A 24193-nucleotide genomic window follows, 5' to 3' on the forward strand; every position below is an offset into this window, starting at 1 on the left:
TGCTATGAAGAAATACCTGAGACTGGGTAATTTATAAAGAAAAGAGGTTTATTGGCTCATGGTTCTGTAGGCTCTACAGGAAGCATGGTGGGGGAAGCCTCAGGAAACTTACAATCATGACAGAAGGTGAAGTGGAAGTAGGCTTGTCTTATGTGGCCAGAGCAGGAAGAAGAGAGAGAAGGGGGAGGTGCCACACACTTTTAAACAACCAGATCTCATGAGAACTCACTATCACAAGAACAGCAAGGGGAAAGCCTGTCCCCATGATCCAATCACCTCCCACCAGGCCTCTCCTCCAACACTGGGAATTACAATTTGACATGAGATTTGAGGAGGGACACACATCCAAACCATATCATGGGGTCTCGCCATGTTGCCCAGACTGGTCTTGATCTACTGGCCTCAAGCAATCCTCCTGCCTCAGCCTCCCAAAGTGCTGGGATCACAGATGTGAGCCACTGCACCTGGCCCCTTTTACTCTCAATATTATAGAGTAATGGTCAGAAAACTGTGGCCCCTGTGCCAAATCCAGTTCCCCATCTGTTTTGTAAATAAAGTATAATTGAAATATAGCCATGCTTATTCATTTCCCTATTCTCTGTGGCTGCTTACATACTACAACAGCAGAGTTGACTAGGTATGACAGAGACTGTACAGCCCTTAAAGCCTAAAATATTGACTCTCTGGCCCTTAACAGAACAAATCTTCCAACCCTTGCTGTATAACATTTTATTGTACAAATACAATTGACCCTTGAACAATGCACGAGGTTAGGGATACCAACACCCCACACAGTCAAATATCTGCATATGCTTTTGACTTCCCCAAAACTTAACTACTTACAGCCTACTGTTCACCAGAAGTATTAACTGATCATTAACAGTTGATTAACACATATTTTGCATGTTATTTTTATCACATACTGTACACTTACAATCAAGTAAGCTTAGGGAAAAGAAAATGATATTAAGAAAATCATAAGAAAGAGAAAATGTATTTACTGTGGAAGTGGATCAAGGAAGATGGTCTTACCATCTCAGGGGTAGCAGAGGTAGAAGAAAATCTGCATATAAGTGGACCCAGAAAATGTGCATATTAAGTGGACCCACATAGTTTAAACTCGTGTTGTTCAAGGCTCAACTGCTACCAAAACTTATTTATCCATTCCATTACTGATGGATATGTGGATGGTTTCCAATTTGAGGCTACTACAAACATTCCTGCTATGAATATTCATGTGCATGTCTCCTGTGCACAGGATCATGCACTATATACCTAGAAGTGGAACTGTGAGATCATATAATAGGCATAGCTTTAAAACTGTAGATATTGCCACCTGGTTATACATTGCAAAATGGTTTTTCCAATTTCCTTTTCCACTAGCACAAAATGAGCATTCCTGTGGCTCCATGACCTTATCTACACCAAGTATAGTGTTTAGTGCTCTCTCATTGCGTTTAGTGTTATCTCATTGTATTTCTTAACTATTGCTTCAAAACAAATTATCCCAGAACTTAGTGCTTAAAATACCAGACACATAATCTCACATAGTTTCTTTGGGTCAGGAATCTAGGAATGGCTTAGCTGGGTGGTTTGGGCTTAGGCTGTCTCATGAGCTTGAAATCAAGATGTTGGGCAGAACTGCAGCAAATCCTCATGTCGTCTTCTGAAGGCTCAACTGGGCTAGAGGACCTATTTCCAAACTCACTGACGTGGCCGCTGGCTGGAGGCCTCAGTTACATGCCCCATAATCCTCTGTGGAGAGCTGTTTGTCACATGACAGCTGGCTTCCCCCAGAGCAACTGATCTGTGAGAGAGAGAAAGAGAGAATGAGAAATCAAGGTGGTTTCTTTTATGACCTCAACTCAGGAGTGACATACCACCACATCTGCCATATTCTGTTGATCACACAAACCAACTGTAGTGCAATATGGGAGGGTGTGAACACAAGGTGGCAGGGATCACTGGGAGCCATCCTGAAGTCTGGCTAGCACATTCATTGTGGTGTTCGTTTGCTTTTCGCTGATTACTAATATGTGGAGCACCTTTTCATTTGTGTTGGCCATCAGAATTTCTTCTTTTGTAAGTATTTTGGTCATTTTTTCTGTGGAGCTGTATGAGTGCTTGAGTGTTTGGGGTTTTTGTTTTGTTTTTTTTGTTTTGTTTTGTTTTTTGTTTTTTTTTTTTGAGACAGAGCCTTGCTCTGTCACCCAGGCTGGAGTGCAGTGGCACAATCATGGCTCACTGCAGCCTCCACCTTCCACTCAAGCATTTCTCCTGCCTCAGCCTCCCAAAGAGCTGAGACCACAGGCAGGCACCATTCCTGGCTAATGTTTTATTTTTTGTAGAGATGGGGTCTTCCTATGTTGCCTAGGCTGGTCTTGAACTCCTGGATTCAAGTGATCCTCCTGCCTCGGCCTCCCAAAGTGCTGGGATTACAGGCATGAGCCACCACTCCTGTCCTGTAAGAATACTTTTTTTTTTCTAGAGATGAAGTTCTGCTATATTGCCCAAGCTCAAGCTGAAGTACAGTGGCTAATCACAGGTGTGATCATGGTGCACTACAGTTCAAACTCCTGGGCTCAAATGATCCTCCTGCCTCACTCTCCTGATTAGCTGGGACCACAAGCACATAGCAACATGCCCAGCCTAGGTAGTACTTTTTATATTCTGCATATAAAGCCATTGTTCATGTGTTTTACAAACATTTTCCACCATGTGGCTTACCTTTTCACTTTTTTTTTTTTTAATTAGTGTCTCACTATGTTGCCCGGGCTGGTCTTGAACTCCTGGCCTCAAGCTATCCTCCTGCCTTGGCTTCCCAAAGTGCTGGGACCATTTCACTTTCTTAATCATGTATTTTTTTATATATTATTATTTTTTTTTCTTTGAGATGGAGTTTCGCTCTTGTCACCCAGGCTGGAGTGCCATGGCATGATCTCAGCTCACTGCAACCTCCGCCTCCCGGGTTCAAGCAATTCTTCTGCCTCAGCCTCCCGAGTAGCTGGGATTACAGGCATGCATCACTACACCCAGCTAAGTTTGTATTTTTAGTAGAGACGGGGTTTCACCATGTTGGCCAGGCTGGTCTGGAACTCCTAACCTCAGGTGATCTGCCCGCCTCGACCTCCCAAAATGCTGGGATTACAGGTGTGAGCCACCACGCCCGGCCCTTAATCATTTCTTTTAATAAGCAGAAGTTCTTAACTTGAACATAGCCAAATTTATTGACCTCTTCATTTATAATTGGTGATTTGTATATTCTTTAAGAAATCTTTCTGTATCATGAGGTCAGGAAGACATTTTCTCATGTTGTCATCTAAACACTTTATTATTTTGCCTTCCAAAAAATAGGTCTATTATCTTCCTGGAATAGATTTTTGTGTAAGTATGATGTAGGTGTCCAATTTTATTTCTGCTCCATATTGATATCCAATTTTCTCTATACCATTTACAAAAAAGACTGTCCTTTCTTAAAGTTCTGCTGAGTCCCTCTTGTGATAAATCAACTGTCCATATATTGAGTCTGTTTCTGGGCTTCCTTTTCTGCTATATTGCTCTATTTGTCTTTGTTTTTCTAGGCTTTTTTATTTATTTATTTTTTATTTTGGGACAGGGTCTCCCTCTGTCACCCATACTGGAGTGCACGGCTCACTGCAGCCTCGAACTCCTGGACTCAAGCAATCCTCCCACCTCAGTCTCCCAGTTACCTGGGATTACAGACGCATGCCATCACGCCCAGCTGATTGTTGTATTTTTAGTAGTGACACAGAGTTTTACCATGTTGGCCAGGCTTATCAACCAATTTTTTTTTTTTTTTTTTTTTTTTTTTTTGTGATTAAGTGTCTCTCTGTCACCCAGGCTGGAGCACAATGGCACGATCTCGGCTTACTGCAACCTCCACTTCCCAGGTTCAAGTGATTCTCCTGCCTCAGCCTCCCAAATATCTGGGACCACAGAAATGCGACACCACGCCTGGCTAATTTTTTTTTTATTTTTAGTAGAGACAGGATTTCACCATGTTGGCCAGGCTGGTCTAGAACTCCTGACCTCAGGTGATCTGCCTGCCTCAGACTCCCAAAGTGCTGGGATTACAGGCGTGAGCCACCGCACCTGACCTAATTTTTGATATTTTTCACAGACAAGATTTTGCCATGTTGCCCAGGTTCATTCTAACACTACACCTTGTTATTACCATAGCTTTATCATAATAAGTCTTAATATTTTTTACAGCAAGTCCTCCAGTCATGTTTCCAAGAAACAGAGAAAAGAGTAATGCAACTCTTGGCCTTAGAATGGCTGATCTGGTTGGCTGGGCACAGTGGCTCACGCCTGTAATCCCAGCACTTTGGGAGGCCGAGGCGGGGGGATTGTCTGAGGTCAGGAGTTCGAGACCAGCCTGGCCAACATAGTGAAACCCCACCTCTACTAAACATACAAAAAATTAGCTGGGTGTGGTGGCAGGCGCCTGTAGTCCAGTTACTCGGGAGGCTGAGGCAGGAGAATCGCTTGAACCCAGGAGGTGGAGGTTGCAGTGAGCCGAGATCGCACCATTGCAATCAAGCCTGGGCAACAAGAGCGAAACTGTCTCAAAAAAAAAAAAAAAAAAAAAGAAAAGAGTGGCTGATCTGATGAGGGATATACAGTCTCTGTCTTTAGGAGTCCCTAAATCCTGGTATTCTTTTACAACCTAAATTAAATCCTACCTTGTCCATGACAACTTCTCCAGGCAGAGAATCCCTCATCTGACCACACCTGATAATGTGGATTCTGTCTCCGTCAAGTAGGTAACCACACATGCTACCATATAACTTAATTCCCGTAGCTGCTACATTTTCCACTCAAAGACAGGAATGGCGTTTTAGTAAAGGATTTTATGGTATTCATTTTTGTGCATCTAACACAGAACCTACATGCAGTAGATGCTTAATAAATAAATATATAATTTTTCATTATTTGAATTGTGATTTATTGTCTATGCTAGGCACCAGAACGAATGAATGAATGTTCATTTCCAAGACAAACAAGAATAATCTCCAACAACATACAAACTTAAGATCCTAATCAGGGTTCATCCACAGGAATAGAGCTAAATATCACTTGCTAAATGATAATGTGGTATTCAACTAGCTCCATGTATCCTTTCAATGGCTCCTGCAGCTCTTCAAGTCCAAGAATTAAAGCCCTATTTGTGATCACCAGCAAAGATGCAAAAGCCCCTTGAACACCCTGCACACACATCTCCTCTATTGTTTGTCACACATACAGATACCCAGTTTATTACGAGGTCTGAACTCAGTGAAGGTATAAACACGAAAGCAGTTTCATTTTTCTCCAACTACTCACTACCTTTAACTACACAGTTGACCCAGTTGACCCCTGAACAGCATGGATTTGAACTGCTTGGGTCCACTTCTACCTGGATTTTCTTCTGCCTCTGCCACCCTTGAGACAGTGAGACCAACCCCTCCTCTTCCTCCTCCTCTTCACCCTATTCAGTGTGAAGAGGATGAGGATGAAGTCATCTATGATGATCCGCTTCCACTTAATGAATAGTAAATATGGCCGGGCATAGTGGCTCACGCCTGTAATCTCAGCACGTTGGAAGGCTGACCACTGCATTCCAGCCTGGGTGACACAGCAAGACTCCATCTCAAAAAAAAAAGAATCCTAAATATATTTTCCTTATGATTTTCTTAATATTCTATTTTCTCTAGCTTGCTTTATTGTAAGAATATAGTATATAATACATATAACACAAAACATGTGTTAATTGACTATGTTATCAGTAAGACTTCCAGTCAACAGTAGGCTACTAATAGTTCAGTTTTTGGGCAGATGCCGTGGCTCATGCCTGTAATCCCAGCACTTTGGGAGGCCAAGGTGGGCAGATCACGTGAGGTCAGGAGTCCAAGACCAGCCTGGCCAGCATGGTGAAACCCCATCTCTACTGAAAATACAAAAATTAGCCAGGCATCTTTGTGCACACCTGTAATCCCAGCTACTCAGGAGGCTGAGGCTTGAGAATTGCTTGAACCTGGGAGGTGAAGGTTGCAGTGAGCTGAGATCACCCCACTGCACTCCAGCCTGGGAGACAGAGTGAGACTCCATCTCAAAAAAAAAAAAAGAAAAAAGACAAGAAAAATAGTTAAATGTTTGTGGAGTCAAAAGTTACATGTGGATTTTTGACAATGCCTCTAAGCCTTGCATTGTTCAAGGGTCAGCTGTACTCCCAAATATTCCTCTCTCTTAGAAACATAGTTTTTAGTCCCATTACGGTATTTAAAAGCCTAACACAAGCAACTCAGTAAGTTTAAAGCTTCAATATCACATGCAATTTCAAGATCTTCTCCTCATAGCTCAGTTTGACCACTGGTCAAAAGGACCTTTGTCTATTTCTCTGATGGTTGCAGAATCTAGCTGATGCATGCATACATGTGCACATATGTGTGCACATACACACATACTGGCACATACTTATACTAAGAAATAATCTGCTGCTTATCTGAAATTCAAATGTAACTGAGAGTCCTATATTTTATGTGGCAACCCTACTTCCCACTCCTTCTTCTGGGTTTCCCATTCTCCTCCGAGGTGTTGGGCTCCAGGAAGAAAGATGCAGAGCGAGGAAGTGTGAACATCTTCTACTTAACTGCTGCTGCTGTAATTCTCCTTCAGCTGTCATCCACCGTGGTTGCAGCCTGCCAAATCCGGCTTTCCTCAGGCACTTGTACAAGCTTTCAGGCGGCCCTGCAGGGTGGCACATTTTCTCTAAGACAACTAGTCACGTGCTCAATGCCCATGAGTTCAAGAGCCTCCTTTCCTCCCACCCAAAGCCCTTATCCCCAAGGAGGTGAGATTAATTTCTGATCAGGTGGGCCTTGTGCCAGCTATTATTTAGTTGTTATCTCTCAACTCCAAACCCAACCTTCTGTATTCTGCTTTGTGATACAAGAGTTGGAATTGGGAAAAGCATATTTCTGCTGTTCCAGCTGCTTCCTGTGAGGTTCTACCCATGGGGGTGTTAGAGGGGAACTGCAAGGCTGGAGGAAAAAGGAACTTGCTCTTTCTGTTCCTGTGAACACTCTCCTAGCAAGGCTTCCTTTCTCCTGCAATGGCAGTTCCTTCCCATAGCAGCATCTCAATCCAGTTTGCAGTTTTCCTAACACTGGCAGAACCAGTCTAATTGCACCCCTCAAAGACTCCAACCCCCGTCCCTCCTTAGAGATCTGAGTTTCAGTTTGCAGGGCACTTTTCTCCTATTATTCTAGTGATTTTTTGGTTTGTTTGTTTGTTTGTTTGAGACAGGGTCTCACTCTGTCTCCCAGGCTGGAGTGTAGTGGAGTGTAGTTACAGTGAGTCATACTCACTGTAACTGGGCTCTAGTGATCCTCCTACCTCAACCTCCCGAGTAGCTGGGACCACAGGTGAATGCCACTCTGCCTGGCCAATTTTATTATGTTTTGTAGAGACAGGGTCTCACTATGTTGCCCAGTCTAGTCTCAAACTCCTGGCTTCAAGCAATCCTCCCACCTTGGTCTCCTGAGTCTCTGGGATTACAGATATGAGCCACTGCACTTGGCTGATTCTAAGTGTTAATGCCAACCTTTTCTCATTGTTCCCCCAGACCTCTGAGTATAGCTGTTTCCTTCAGTTGCTTCTTCTGTGATACATTAATATTGTTGTTGGGTTGGTTTTGTTTTGTTGTTTTTTTTTCCTTTTTAGTTGCCTGGTTATCAACTTGATTCCTAGTTAACAATTCTCGGCCAGGCGTGGTGGCTCATGCCTGTAATCCCAGCACTTTGGGAGCCCGAGGACAGGGGATCACTTGAGGTCAGCAGTTTGAGACCAGCCTGGTCAACATGGTGAAACCCTGCCTCTACTAAAATACAAAAATTAGCCAGGCGTGTTAGCGAGTGCCTGTAATCCCAGCTGCTCCGGAGGCTGAGGCGGGAGAGGTGCTTGATTCCAGGAGGCGTATGTTGCGGTGAGCTGGGATCACGCCACAGCACTCCAGCCTGGGCAACAGAGTGAGACTCCATCTATCTCAAAAAAAAAAAAAAGAAAAGAAAAAAGTTCTTTATATTAAATTCTTTTTCTTAAGTGGACTCTCAATATGTTGCCCAGGCTGGTCTCAAACTCCTGGGTCCAAGTGATCCTCCCTGCTCAGCCTCACAAAGTGCTGGGATTACAGGCTTGAACCACTGCGCCTGGGCCATACTAAATTCTCTCTGTTAAAATAACTGGTACGGGGCCAGGCACAGTGGCTCACACCTGTAATCCCAGCAGTTTGGGAGGTCAAGGCAGGTGGATTGCTTGAGCCCAGGAGTTCGAGAACAGCCTGAGCAACACAGCAAGACCACATCTCTAAAAAATAATAATAAATAAATAAATGAAATTAAATAACTGGTATAGTTTCTGCCTCTTGATTGGACCCTGACTGATACAGTGGCCCTGATTCTCCTCTGAGCAAAGGACTTTTCTGTTCTTATCCATTCAAATCAATAGTGCTTATAGCAAAGAGCCCAGACATAGTACTCAGAAAATCTGCACTTTCCCGCCATTCAGTGCCAAATCTAAAACAAGTTGCCTAAAGTCTCTTGGTCTCTATTTGACCAATTGAAATCGGAACAGTAATATCCACCTTCGGAGGAGGGTCTGGACCTCCATAAAGATAGCCAATGAAACATGCTAACTCAAGAAATATCAATTATAATTCCTCCTATTTATACCATTTTTGCATCCATTACCTTAACTCACGTATTCATACAACAAACATGTATTAAAACCAAATACCTCCCAGGTTCTGGGTATGCACTAGATTATCAAAAGAGCACTATATTATGATTATCATTCATTGTGCATTTGCTTCATGCTGTTATGTTGACCATTCTGCATATGTTATTTTTTTCATTTTATCATGGCAGAGAGCATTATCTCTCCACCAAAAGTTCATGCTCTTCCTTCCATTGTATAGAGGTATTCCCAGCTACCCTCCCAACAAGAGATGATATTACCTAGCTACCTTCATAGTTAGATACATTATGTGACCAAATTCTAACTGTAGAATATGAGTAGAAGAAATGTTCACCATTTCTTACTCTTGTCCATTAAAAAAAAAACAAAAACCACATGGGGCTGTTTCATGTTCTTTCCCTTTTCTCTGTCTTGAAGCCAAGACCCAGGGAATTGTAGCCATAGATCCTAGTATTGTAGGCAACTTCCAGGATGGTTCCCAATGATTTACACCTCCAAGTATTTATCCCCATGTGTTGTCACTCTTATATTGAATACGGCAGTCTTGTGTAACCAATAGGACTTTATGGAAATGACAAAATATTACTTATAAGGCCAGTTCATAAAGGATATTGTGGTTTCTGTCTTCTTCATTCTGGATTACTCACTCTGGGGGAAGCTAGCGCCATGTTGTGTGGATGCTCAAGCAGCACTGTGGAGAAGACCACATGATAAGTCATTGAGGCTTCCTGCCAACAGCCAAGTAAGTGCGCCATCTTGAAAGTGGATACAGTCCCAGTCAAGCTTTCAGATGATGGCAACCCTAGCCAACATCTTGACTACAACCTCAAGAGAGACTCTGGTCAGAACACCCCAGCTAAGCCACTCCCAAATTACTGACCCTCTGAAAGTGTGCAATAATAAATGGTTTTTATGGGGTACACAGAAATAGATAACTAATATGCCTGGATTCCTGAATGACTACAAGGAAAACTACTGCTAACAAGGAACACATACATTGAATGAGTGGTAAATAAACATCTATAGTGTTAAACCACTGAATATTTGAGGTTTGTTACATTGCATAATGACTACTCTATTCCAGTATTATCAATTCAAATTTTATTCTCATCTACTATTCTGTATAAGAGACCCTCATGACACTGAGGTTGGGACAAAATAATATTTGAATTTTATGCATTTGTTTGCTCTTGTAGACGGTAGTTGCCTTCAAACTTCATTTGCTAATGGAAACATTTTTTCAATAAATCCTTTCCCGATCTCCCAATACAAAACAGAGAATATCTGAGCATGTTCATACTGAACAAAGCAAGGTTACAGTAGTGACGATCTCACACCCTCTGTCTCAGCCTCTAACCCACTCCTTGAAGTCACCTTGGGACATAATAACAGCATTTCCAACAGGGAAGACATGGCCTGAGGAACACAGATTCACCAATATAAAATTCTGGGATACTTTGTAATGGAAACAGCACTTGGAAGAGTTAATTATCATATTAGTTTGCTAGGGCTGCCATAACAAAATGCCACAGAACAACAGAAATGGCTTCAACAACAGGAATACATTTTCTCACAGTTCTGGAGGCTGGAACTCCAAGATCAAGGTGCCGGCAGGGTTGGTTTCCTCTGAGGCCTCTCTCCTCAGCTTGCAGATGGCTGACCTATTGTTGTCTCTTCACATAGTTGTCTGTCTGGGCACGCACATGCCTGGTATCTCTGTGTCCTAATCTCTTCTTCTTACAATGACAACAGTTGGACTGGATTAGGGCCCACCCCAATGGCCTCATTTAAACATAATCACCTTTTCAAAAGCCCTATCTACAGATACAGTCATAGTCTGAGGTACTGGGATATTAAGACTTCAACATACTAATTTTGGGAGAACACAATTCATTCTTTCTCTCTCTCTCCTCTCCCTCTCCCTCTTCCTCTCTGTCTCCCTCTCTTTCTCTCCCTCTATCTTTGCTTCCTCCCTGCTTCCCTCCCTCTTTCTCTCCAGCTAGTAAATTAGCCTGAAATAATTTGTTCAAAGTAAGTAGGCAGGGCTGGACATGGTGGCTTACCCCTGTAATCCCAGCGCTTTGGGAGGCCAAGGCAGGTGGGTCACTTGAGGTCAGGAGTTCGAGACCAGCCTGACCAACATGGCGAAACCCTGTCTCTACTAAAAATACAAAAATTAGCTGGGCGTGGTGGCACGCACCTGTAATCCCAGCTACTTGGGGGGCTGAGGCAGGAGAATCACTTGAACCTGGGAGGCAGAGGTTGCAATGAGCCGAGATTGCACCACTGCACTCCAGCCTGGGTGACAGAGCAAGACTCCATCTAAAAAAAAAAGTAAGTAGGCATGATGTATCAGGTGAACTCCAAGAAATGTAATTTGGTTGAGGAAAAAAATAAGCTCATCAAAGTAGATGCAATTTTGGAGAGTCAGAGAGAATTCTGAATGTTAAAAAGACAGCCAAATTATACTGCTTCAGTCAGTGTGAGCCTTACATCTCTGGTCATCTCAGTGGTTAAAATTCAGTTCTTCTTGAAATCCTTTTAAGTTCTAAGATTTCCTTTCTTTCATAGGGAAAGACAATGGTGATTCTGGTTAAAGCTGGAAAGCAGCAGTGGGTTTGATGTTTAACTGCTCTCAGCTCACTTTCCAGGCAACTCTAGAAGATATATATATATATTTTACATTTAAGAATATATATATATATTTTACATTTTAATCATACATTTTTAAAAGGAAAAAGGATTATTTTGTTCACGTTACAAGTGTGTCTTCATCTCTTCCCTTAGGAAATGTCTTGAAGGCAAATAGAAGGAGATGCTACCATGTGAAGTAGATCCTGCTGTCAAACCCAGAGGGTTCAACAGTTTGGGAATAAAGCTCGCTTGAAGGAAGAAATTCCAAGTGTCTTTCAAAGCTAATGACTATTAGCACGATTTTCTTTTTTGCAATCACATGGATACAATGGCAAAGCAATGGCCTGGCATAGGGGCTCATACCTGTAATCTCAGCACTTTAGGAGGCTGAGGCAGGAGGATCCCTTGAGGCCAGGGATTCGAGACCAGCCTGAGCAACATAATGAGATCCTGTCTCTACTTTAAAAATAAAAAATAAACAAAATTAAAAGATAAAAATAAATTCAAAAATTATGAGGCAAGGCTAGCAAGGTTGATAATTTACCCACACTCTGTCCCATTAAGGATGATTTTGGCTACAAGTATCAGATATTCATCTCAAGTAGATTTAAATTAGAGAGTTTATTATCTCACATAACAAAAAGGGTGAAGGGACGATGGTCCATTTAGTAGTCTGCCTCCTCAAGGACCCAGGCTTCTTCTAGTTTCCCTGATAGCCCTCAGTTAACTCCTCTCATGGTTCCAAGCTGTCTGCCACAGTTCCAGTCATTACTTGCATCAGAATAGAGACTGTTTCTTCCACGTGTGTCTCTTCTTTTCTTTTCTTCCTTTTTTTAAAATTTTTTTATAGAGACAGGATCTCGCTCTGTTGCCCAGGCTGAAGTGCAGTGGTGCAATCATAGCTCACTGCAGCCTCAAACTCCTGGGCTCAAGCAATCCTCCCATTTCAGCCTCCTGAGTAGCTGGGACTACAGGTGTGCACTACCGTGCCCAGCTAATGTTTGTTTGTTTGTTTGCTTGTTTATTGCAGCCTTGGTATGTTGCTCGAACTGGCCTTGAGCTCTTGGACTCAGGTGACCCTCCCTCCTGGGCCTCCCAAGGGCTCGGATTACAGGCATGAGTCTCCACACCCTGCGTCTCTTCTTTTCAATGAGAAAAATCTTCCCAGATGCCCCACAGTAGAAGTTTCAATGTCTCATAGCCAGAATTGTTACATAATCCTTTGCCTAACTACATCACTGACAAGGGAACGGGGCATGAAGACCAGTTTAGAATAATCAGTATGTGCTTCTGAGTCATGCAGGAGAGGACCATTTGCCCTGAGCAAGTGACTGTACAGAAAGAACGAGAACACCTGAAATCAGGGGAACCAACGGTATCTGCAACATACTACAAAGCAGGTGTACAAAACATGAACGTTCTTCTTTGTCCGTAAATATCTTGCTCATGTGCCCTTGTCCCACTGATGTCAGGGGTGGAAAAATCCTAACTTCCAGTTAAGGTAACTTGGTTACTTCTAGTTCAAAACAGTCTCTCTAGTGCTGGTTCAATTTCTTTTGGATAAATATTCAATCCAATTCAAGGTTCAAATTCTCTACCAGGGCCATCTCTCTCTTGTCAAGGGTTGGTTCCTCATTCTCTGTCTCAAGATGGTATGGCATCCAGGTCCTCAGAAAAGCCTACACTTCCTCCTAATGATGGGGCAGGGGCCCACATATGTCCCACTGTGCTGTCTCCTGGACCTTCAGTATTCTCTGCAGAAATGTCCTTTGTCCTGCCCGATCACTGAGACTTCTGCTGGCCTCTGATGCCGGTGATATAGGAGTAAAGAAGAAATTATTTAGGCAGACAGTGAGGGTAAGGAAGTCCTCAGTAAGGTTTCCTTTTAATGAAAAGCAGCCCCTGAATCATTTCTTTTCTAACAAACAGCAGCCTGTAAAATTGAGCTGCAGACACAGAAGCTTGCACGGGTGAATGCGGCAGCTGTGTCAATAGGAAAAGGCTACCTGGGACTAGGCATGTTCAAAATGGCAGCTGCATCTTCCCTTTCCCTTTCCAACCACATGTGCATTAGGCAGCAGACAACATGGTGCCGGCCAAGTGGAAAGCCTATTTGCATAATAAGATTAGGGTGGCGTGGCCAGCTTCCCCACACGCTATGTAAAACTCACACCTGGTCCAACCAATCTGTGGGCCCTGTGTCAATCAGACACTGCCTCCTCAAGCCTGTCTATAAAATCCAATGCACTCCATCGTGGGTCAGAAGTCCCACTGGCGCACTCCTCTCTCTCCTACTGTTACCCTTTCTCTTTCTTTTGCCTATTAAACCTCTGCTCCTAAACCCAATTCTTGTGTCCGCAAACTCGATTTCCTTGGCATGAGACAACAAACCCCCGGTATTTACCCCAGACAATGACACCATCTCACTGGTGGCCACAGTTGGTAGATGCTCAGATCTCCCAGTTGGGTTGTGCCACTGGGTGACTGGGCCAGGACCCTCTGTTGGGTAAGTCCCGCCTTAGCTTTCGCTGGCTCCGTGGATCCCTCTGAGATTGGGCTGTGACTTCCTTTCAATCTCCCTGGCCTCAGCAATCCATCCTGTAGCTCTTGGCTACACAGTCCTATGTTGACCCTATAATAAAAAGACAGGTTGGGTGCAGTGGCTCACACCTGTAATCCCAACACGTTGGGATGCCAAGGTGGGAGGAGTGCTTGAAGCCAGGCATTCGAGAACAGCCTGGGCAACATAGTAAGTCCTTGTATCTACAAAAATACATATATATATATACATATATATATATACATATACACATATATATATATACATATACACATATATATATATATATACACATATATATATATATATATGTGTATATATATATATATATTGAGACAGAGTTTCACTCTTGTTACCCAGGCTGGAGTGCAATGGTGCAATCTCGGCTCACTGCAACCTCCGCCTCCCGGGTTCAAACGATTCTCTGCCTCAGCTTCCCGAGTAGCTGGGATTACAGGCATGCACCACCACGCTTGGCTAATTTTGTGTTTTTAGTAGAGACGGGGTTTCTCCATGTTGGTCAGGCTGGTCTCTAACTCCCGAACTCAGGTGATCCGCCCGTCTCGGCCTCCCAAATTGCTGGGATTATAGGCATGAGCCACCGCGTCTGGCCACAAAAAATATTTTTTAAACTAGCTGAGCACGGTGGCACATGCCTGTAGTCCCAGCTACTCAGGAGGCTGTGGCAGGAGGATCACCTAAGCTCTGAAGGTCGAGGCTGCAGTGAGCTGTTATCACACCACAGTACTTCAGCCTGGGTGACAGAGCAAGATCCTGTCTCTAAAAAACTAAAAATAAAAAATAAAAAGACAGCTAGTACATTCAATTACTTTCTTTGTCTCTCTTGGTAATGGTGGAGGGGAGTGCTGGAGGTATTCCCAGGCACTCAGGAATTGACAGAGACCCAAGGCACCAGTGAAAGCCCTCTCTACATAAACACACGACACCACCAGTGTTCCTCTAATGCAGCCACTCTGTGCTGGTGCAGGGCTTCCGATGACTCATTTGCATCCCAGAGTCTCAAATGGGGACTGGGGCCCATACCCCACTGCTTGAGGATTCCCCCATATGTCTCCAGTTTTTGCTACTACACATTCTCACCCCACCCAGCAGGAGTTTTGATCCAGAGGGAGGGAGACAGGACACACTTACCTGACCCTTGTCCTTCCTCTCTCTCTCTCTCTTTCTCTCCCAATCTCTCTCTCTCTCTCTCCCAATCTCTCTCTCTCTCTTTCACCCACAGACACACACACACACATGCACTTATATCAAAAACTTTGGAATCAAAAAGCTCACTGCTATTTCAAAGACAAATACTACAAGTTCAAAAATATGCAGGCCAGGCGTAATGGCTCATGCCTGTAATTCCAGCACTTTGGAAGGCCAAGGGTGGCGGATCACTTGAGATCAGGAGTTCAGCACCAGCCTGGCCAACACGGTGAAACCCCATCTCTGCTAAAAATACAAAAATTAGTATTTTTAGTGGTGCAGTGGCACAAGCCTGTAATTCCAGCTACTCGGGAGGCTGAGGCACGAGAATTGCTTTAACTTGGGAGGTGAGGGTTGCAGTGAGCCGAGATCACACCACTGCACTCCATCCTGGGTGACAGAGGGAGACTCTGTCTCGAAATAAATAAATAGACTCCAACTAGATTCCCCTTCAATGCATTTGTTTGGGGGTGTCTGATCACCACATACAAGTTCTGTCTGCACGTGTAACATGAACTTACAGGTCAGAAAGACACTGACTCTTTGGAGTGTCTTTAGGCTTTGGAGACAAAAAAAACACTCTGAATGAGAATCACAGCTCCTGTATTCTGCTTTGACTTGAAACTATGAGCTCAGTTTTGGGTGAGACACTGAAGATGTAATGGGGGAGAAAGCATTCATTGGTATGGGCAAAGCAATAAAAGAAAACTCTAGGAGTCAACTAAGTGGGATATGAACGAAAACTACCAGAAATGGTGATTAGCTCATCTATCATCAGAAGGAATCAACTCATCATTTCAAAAAAAACAAATAAAAATTGGGCCATAATTAGGTCCAATTAACTCATCCTTCAAACACATTCTCTGTAGTGGACATCTGTTGTTTTGGCTGCCTTTCGGGTAATTACAAGCCAGTTTCCCTTTGGAGGAACATCCCTCCCCCAAATGTCTGCCATATAATTGATTGGGAATGACCCCATCCCTAACTCCAGGAATGGGTATCAACTCCCTGAAGCCAATCAGCTAATCAGTCTAATCCCCCAAGCCACAGTTTAAAGATTCACACATAACCAGTTAGAGCCAATGAGCTTCAAGGGGGTGCGTGGAAGAGAAGATGTCACTCTTCTTCTGAATATGTAGCCACCATCTTGTTTCCACTGTAGAGGCAGCCTAAGGATGAAGCCAACCTATGGGAGAAGGCAGTGAGAAAGGATGGTCACACTACTTGAGGCTGAATGTAGATTAACTTCTCAGTACTGTGAGCCAATACTGACCTAAGTGCTTAGGACATACATCATTTGCACAACCCAGTAAGAGGTAGGGTATTACCCCATTCTACAGGAAACCTGGTACTCATATAAATTAAGAGGATTGTCTAGTGTCACAAAAGCCAGGATTTGCAACCAATCATCTTGGATGCCAAAGCCCTGGCTCTTAATCATTCTACATGCTTATATAATCCTCACAATAAACTAAAACTCAGAGAGTTTAGGTAACATGTCCAAAGTCACACAGAAGGGAGATAAATGATGGAGCTGTGATTCTCATTCAGAATTTTTTGTCTACAAAGTCTGCATATTCTGCTTTAACATCAAACTATGAGCTCATTTTGGGGTCAGGTAGAGCCAATAACAAGGTTGACACATGCGTTTTTTTGTTTGTCTTTATTTTGTTTTTTTGAGACAAAGTCTCGCTCTGTCACCAGGCTGGAGTGTAGTGGTGCCATCTCGGCTCACGGCGCCATCTCGGCTCACTGTAACCTCCACCTCCCGGGTTCAAGCAATTCTCTTGCCTCAGCCTGCCGAGTAGCTGGAACTACAGGCATGTGCCACCACGCCCAGCTAATTTTTGTATTTTTAGTACAGATGGGGTTTCACCATGTTGGCCAGGATGGTCTCGATCTCTTGACCTCGTGATCCGCCCTGGCACATGTTTTTAAGAGCAAGGTTCCAGAGCCCATGAGGCTGGTGTACTAACACTCAATAAATGTCAAATGCCTCTGTATCTTATTCTTTTTTTTTTTTTTTTTTTTGACAGCGTCTTGCCTCCAGGCTGCAGTGCAGTGGAGGGATCTCAGCTCACTGCAACCTCCGCTTCCCAAGTTCAAGTGATTCTCCTGCCTCGGCCTCCCAGGTAGCCTGGGATTACAAATTTGAGCCACCATGCCTGGCCTCTATATATCTTAGTCTTAAATTCACCCACTGATATGGTATAGCAAGAGGGGCAATAAAGATAATAATAACCTAGCTATGCATAAACAGAAACCCAGCTAGATTTATTCCCTACTTGGAGGGTCTTTTGGATACCACTGGCCCTCCCCTTAAATCCATTCTCTTCTTTCTAGGTATGGAGGTGAACTACAATTCCCAGCATCCCTTGCAGTTAGGTGTTTAGTGATTTAGTTCTTGCCAAAGGGATTCAAGTGGAAGTGGTGTGTGTCTAGGCCTATGCAGTGGGCGTGACTCCTCCATGTTCTTTCTCTTTCCCACTGGTTGGAACCCTCACCATGCAGATGATGTTAATGCACTGGTATAGAGCAAAGCAACACGATGAAAGAACCTGGGTCCCTGAAAGACTATGTGGATTAGAGCCACCTCAATGATCTCAACTGCTAACCTCAGCACTGTTACATGAGAGGGAAAAAACCACTTTGTTCTTTAAGCCATGTATTGTTGGATACTTTTGTTATGGCCGCTTAGCAGTTTTACACTAAGACAAGGATCTAGAGGTCTTGGAAAAGAATTAGTCATGTTACGGGTGAGCTCAAGAAAAGTAACTAAACACAGCTCCCTATCTCAGGTTAAAAGCCACAGGATCTCATGCCTCTTTGTTATTCTCTCAGCATGAAAGCTCACTGCAGTGAATGAATAAAGCCAGCACTGGGTCAGGGGCTAAGGCAAGCTGCAGAGACTGTAAGGCATGGAGCCAGCATCTGTAGCAGACAGCAGGGAAAGTATGCCACATAGCTTAAGAGAGTTTCCTAAAATCCTGGTGCTGTGAGCAGAGCCTTTGAGAGAACCAGTGAACCCCCAAAACATCTGTTACATGAAGACCAAAAATGAGGGACTCTTCTGCCGGGAGGAAGCATCAGAAAATATTACTTTGATGGTGCCTTGGTAATTTTGAGCTGTTATAACAAGATACCATAGACTGGGTGGCTTAAACAACAAGCATTTGTTTCTCATAGTTCTGGAGGCTGGGAAGTTCAAGATCAAGGCATGGGCTGATCCTGTGTCTGGCGAGGGCTCTCCTTCTGATTTGCAGAAGGCCACTTCCCATTATACCTTCATATGAACAGAGAGAGAGAAAGCTCTCCTGTCTCTTTTTATAACTTCATTAATCTTATAAGGACTCCAACTTCATATCTAATCACCTCCCAAAGGCCCTTTCTCCACATACCACTACATTAAGAATAACAGTTTCAACATATGAATTTTGGGAAGACACAAGCATGCAATTCATAACGATGGGGTTTCTTGAGGGAAAAAAATCAACATCAAATAGTAGCTCACTGGAAGCCATAGATTAGAACTTCTTCTCTATCTCTCATAGTGCCAGTGCTCAGAAATCACCATTTGGTTAACTGATTTCCCGAGTATAATAATGTAGTCACAATCCCTTTGAGCAGACACATATTACTCGTGGGCAAGGGTATAGGGAAATAAATCACCTTGTACTCTGATGCTGAGGATGTTAGGGAAATACCACACTCCAGTGTTTAGGAGCCAGGACCCAGAAGCCAGCGTTAACACCTACTAGTTTTGCGACCTGAGTCTCTGAGGCGACCTCAGCTTCCTCATCCATAAAACAGGGATGATGGTAATGATAGCAGCATCTATTGCATACCATTATTATGAGGATGCAAAATTCTTAGAATAGTGCCTGTCCTATAGTAAGCCCTATGGAAATGTTTGTTACATCAATGTTCATACCACCTTCCAGGATGGGATTTGATAATATGCATTAAAAGCCTTGACCCAGCAATTACACATCAAAGGATTTTTCCTAAAGACATCATCACGGGACATGTGCAAAGATTTATCTTCAAAGAGGCTCACTGCAGTATTAAGTGACCATAAACAAGGGCCTGGCTAAATAAATGATGGGACAGGGCAGCCATATTTTATGCAAAGGATTGAATTGCTGAACACCTCTCATAATACAATACCTCACATTATGCAAGATTAAATTTCCTACAGAAAATAAATGCAAGGCAGGATTCACATTTTATGAAATTTTGCCCATAAAGTTGGATTTAATTAATATTTTATATCCTACTATTTCAAGTTGTGTAATTCAAATTTGCATTAAATGTAACCTGACTGTATATTTATTATGGAACTACACAAAAATTTATGTTGCAGAAGAATAAGCAACAGCTGAGGATGACATCCATGATATATCCATTTTTAAAAGTGTGACCCCATTTTTACCAGATAGACATTTTTAAAACACTGGAAAAATAGACAGCAAAATTTCATGTGTGCTAGCAGGTTACTTGTAATTGTTGTTTCCTTCTCTTTCTTTGCCTACAGTTCCTAATGCGCTAAAGGAACATGTATTATTTTTATAATAAGAATAAAAGGGTCGGGCACAGTGGCTCACGCCTGTAATCCCAGCACTTTGGGAGGCTGAGGCACGCAGATCACCTGAGGTCAGGAGTTCGAGGCCAGGTTCCAACATGGTGAAACCCCATCTCCACTAAAAAAATATAAAAATTAGCCGAGCGTTGTGGCGGGCACCTGTAATCCCAGCTACTCGGGAGGCTGAGGCAGAAGAATCGCTGGAACCCTGAAGGTGGAGGTTACAGTGAGCCGAGATTGCCCCACTGCACCCAGACTGGGAGCCAGAGTGAGACTGTCTCAAAAAATAAGAATGCTAAAATAAAAATTATAAATAAAATTAAATAAAATAAAAAGAAAATAATTCTGCCTTATCATAGAATGTCTACAGCTTTAAGAAACTACTTGTTTTTCTCTAATACTTGGTCCCAGAGATAGGTCTGGATGGAAAATGCCCATATGGCAGTGTTGACCAGAGCTCAGCCTCAGGCCCCAGGAGCCCAATTCAGAGTCAATTAAATCTCTCAAAATGCAACAAAGGACATGTTAGAAATCAGATTACACTGAATGTAATCTGGTTTATACTTAACATGCCTATATGTATTTCTTTTTTTTTTTTTTTTCAGACCGAGTTTTGTTCTTGTTGCCCAGGCTGGAGTACAATAGCACAATCTCGGCTCACCGCAACTTCCACCTCCTGGGTTCAAGTGATTCTCCTGCCTCAGCCTCCCGAGTAGCTGGGACTACAGGCACCCGCCACCATGCCCAGCTAATTTTAGTATTTTTAGTAGAGACAGGTTTTCACCATGTTGGCCAGGCTCGTCTTGAACTCCCGACCTCAGGTGATCCACTCGCCTCGGCCTCCCAAAGTGCTGGGATTACAGGAGTGATATGTGTTTCTTTTATATTTTTTTGTAGAAATGAGGTCTTGCCATGTTGTCCAGGCTGGTCTCAAACTCCTGGGCTGAAGTGATCCTTCTGCCTCAGCCTCTCAAAGAGCTGGGATTACAGATGTGAGCCGTGTCACCAGCCCATATGCGATCTTTTGACATTTGACAATACCTTTAAACAAAACAGAAAGGATGCCATTTTGGTGACTCAAAAAAAAGAGCAAATCACACTAACGAACCTTCAGTCATCTTCTAGCTCATTTTCCCCAACCATAACTGGCACAGTCTATGTAAAGTGGAAATGAGAAGAAAAGCTCACTGATTGCTCACTTCCTCCTTTCCCAGGGAAAGGGCAGGTAGAGATGTGGGAAGGAATAGAAATCCAAGGGAATCCAGGGGCCTAAAGGACTGCGCTCTGTCCTGTGGCTGCTAAATAATGGTGTTAATTCTCATTCATGGCCTTACAGGCCTCACCCCTCCCCACACCAGCCATTCCAACTCCACTTGAAGTTTCAGTCTTTTGTTTTGAACAAACACTCTGCTAAGTAAACACCTTCATATGGATTACCAGGTTTAACTATCACAAAAAGCCTATGAATTCAGCACTATCATTTTCCCAATCTTATAGAGTTTAGAAGCTGTACAGAGGCTAGGAGCTGGGGCTCTGATTTGAATGCTGGATCCACCAGGCTTCTGAGCTGTGTAATCTTCAGCAAATTACTTAACCTTCCCATGCTTCATCCTTCACTTTTCTCATATGCAAAATGAAGATGACAGTAACAGCACCCACATGGTTTTGTTGTAAAGCTTTTAGAACAGCGACTGGTGGACAGGTGCAGTGGCTCACACCTGGAATCCCAGCACTTTGGGAGGCCAAGTCAGGAGGCTTGCTTGAGGCCAGGAGTCCAAAACCAGCCTGGGCAAGATAGCAATATCCTTCTCTACAAAAACAAACAAACAAAACCTTAAATTAGCCAGGCACAGTGGCATGCAACTGTAGTCTCGGAGGCTGAGGCAGGAGAAGCACTTGAGCCCAGGAGTTTCAGGCTTCGGTGAGCTGTGATCATGCCACTGCACTTCAGCCTGGGCAGCAGAGCAAGACCTTGCCCCCAAAATAAAACAAAAAAGAACAGTTCCTGGAGCAGAACTAGTGCTTAATGTAAGTTTGTAGTGAGTAGCACAAGGTCAGACATAACCAAGTCCATGCACATTTGTGTCTTTCCACAAGGTCAGACAAGGTTACCTTGATTAGGTGAACACAAGGTCACCTTGATTAGGTGAACTTAATCAAGGTAACCACTTGGTTACCTTGTAGATTAAGGTAATCACTTAAGGAAATCACAAGATTTCCTTGATTAGGTCAACTTTTACTGATGTTATTTCAATCATGGGGTTCCCGAGCAGGCAATTCTCCTTAGTACTTCCCATTCACTCAGTAGTCAGAGCTGTGGGCACACGGGCTCAAGCCAATCCACAGGTCAGTCAATATTGCAAACCATATATAAGAGTATGCTTAATCAGTCTATAAATGTTGTAGATTAAAATTTCGCACGAAACAGAGAAGCATTTAACAGCAAGAGAAAAGGGGATAGGAAAAGGAGTTAATGAATGAGGCCAAGGAGAATGAAGTGGACAGTTAGAGTGTCCTGGGATGACCTGGATGGTTGTCAATGTCTTGCGAGGAGAGCAAGACATTGTCTCCTTGATGTGGGCAGGATCTTCAGGGGCAAATGCCAGGTGCTGCTCATGAGTGAAAGCAAGACCAGGTCTGCCAAGATGGCCATGTCTAGTTGATACAGTTCTGCTCACTTTATGGCCTTTGAGTCCTCAGGTGAGAACTGATAGTAAAGGGTGATGCCCTTATCTGGTTGGGTTTTGTCTCTATTGATTAAGAGAACATCTGGACCCTGTTGCCTTAATGTGTTTTGAAAAGTTACCTGGACTTTTTTCCTTTTTTTTTTTTTTGGTGAGACGGAGATTTATTCTTGTCACCCAGGCTGGAGTGCAATGGCGCGATCTCGGCACATCGCATCCTCCGCCTCCCAGGTTCAAGCAATTCTCCTGCCTCAGCCTCCCAAGTAGCTGGGATTACAGGCATGTGTCACCACACCCAGCTAATTTTGTATTATTAGTAGAGATGGGATTTCACCGTGTTGCCCAGGGTGATCTCAAACTCCTGACCTCAGGTAATCTGCCCGCCTCGGCCTCCCAAAGTGCTGGGATTACAGGCATGAGCCACTGCACCTGGCCAACCTGGACTTTTTTCTAAGGTGGAATCACTTATGTCAAGGGTGCTCCATACAAGATTTGTTATTACAACAGATGAGGAAATGTGGCCTCAGACAACATAGTAACTTGCCCACAGTTACAAAGCAAGTATTCGATGCAAGATCTGTTTTGGGTTCCTTGAGATTCTCATAACTGTGGGTTTATACCTTTTTATGAAATTTGAAAAGTGTTCAGTTGTTATTTTTTCAAATACATTTTCTATTCCTCTTACTTCTCACCTCTCCTTCAGAGACTCCGATTATACATATATTAGAGCACCTGATGTTGACCAAACTTTATCATAGATTTTTTTTTTTTTTTTTGGCATTGGGAGGGGGTTGAGTCAGAGTCTTACTCTGCTGCTCAGGCTGGAGTGCAGTGGCACAATCTCAGCTCACTGCAACCACCACCTCCCAGGTTCAACTAATTGTCTGCCTCAGCCTCCAAAGTAGCTGGGACTATAGGCATGCACCACCATGCCCAGCTAATTTTTTATTTTTTTAGTAGAGAAGGGTTTTTGCCACATTGGCCAGGCTGATCTTGAACTCCTGGCCTCAAGTAATCTGCCTGCCTCAGCCTCCCAAAGTGCTGGGATTACAGGCATGAGCCACTGCAGAGAACAGAGGCTCTGTTCTTTGTGTGCGTGTGTGACTTTTTTTTCTTTAGTCTTTTTTCTCTGTGTCTGAATATTTCCCATAGCCTATGCCTTCATAGTGTCTAATTTGCTATTTGCTCCACCATTGTACTGTCATCTCTTGAAGTTTAATTTGGGTCTTTTTTCTCTGTCTCCTATATCTCTCATTAACATGCTCAGGCCTCCATCTTCTTGAGTATATTTCTTTTTTTTTTTTTCCTCTAAACTGAAAGTGGCTTTATTCAGGATTTGCTGATCATAAGAACAAAGATCTCTCCAACTGTCTCAAGAAAATAGGGACTAATTGTAAGAGTCCATGTGGTTGGTGCTAGAATCAAGACAGCTCTGAGGCCTGGGGAGCCCTCTCCATGTCTCTCCTGGAAAGCCCAGCCCCTCCCTCAGGAGTCTCTGCTCTTTCTGTGCATCTATTCCCTGTATAGAGCATATTTCTAATAGCTGTTTTAATGTCCTTATCTACTAATTCTATCATCTGTAACATCTTTGGTTCTGTTTCTATTGGATGATTTTTTTTTCACGATTGGGTCCTACTTTTCTGCTTCTTTGCATGCCTGGTAACTTTTTACTGGACTTCAAACATTATGAATTCTACATTGCTGAGTGCCGACATTTTTTATATTCCCATAAATATTTGGGAGTTTTGTTTTAGCATGCATTTAAGT

The 24193-nt window shown here is 43.3% G+C and overlaps 1 long non-coding RNA gene across 1 annotated transcript in view, besides 1 other annotated feature; it reads right to left on the reverse strand.

Moving 5' to 3' along the window:
• Positions 1–435: 435 nt before the first annotated feature.
• LOC105371143 (uncharacterized) overlaps positions 436–24193 on the reverse strand; it is a 29652-nt gene continuing 5894 nt past the window's right edge. The window contains exons 2-4 of the long non-coding RNA XR_950928.3: positions 13796–14023; positions 6654–6750; positions 436–1807 (exon numbers count right to left, since the gene is read on the reverse strand). This is a non-coding gene — a long non-coding RNA (uncharacterized LOC105371143). The remainder of the gene's footprint in view (positions 1808–6653; positions 6751–13795; positions 14024–24193) is intronic.
• Positions 17428–18302: an enhancer, noted in NCBI's record as "OCT4-NANOG-H3K4me1 hESC enhancer chr16:24493839-24494713 (GRCh37/hg19 assembly coordinates)". NCBI's record gives its function as "activates a minimal SCP1, AML or CMV promoter by ChIP-STARR-seq in naive and primed H9 embryonic stem cells {active_cell/tissue: H9 hESC(naive and primed)}" and the evidence as "EXISTENCE:reporter gene assay evidence [ECO:0000049][PMID:30033119]".

Source organism: Homo sapiens, chromosome 16 (assembly GCF_000001405.40).
Source record: "Homo sapiens chromosome 16, GRCh38.p14 Primary Assembly".
Taxonomy (NCBI): Eukaryota; Metazoa; Chordata; class Mammalia; order Primates; family Hominidae; genus Homo; species Homo sapiens.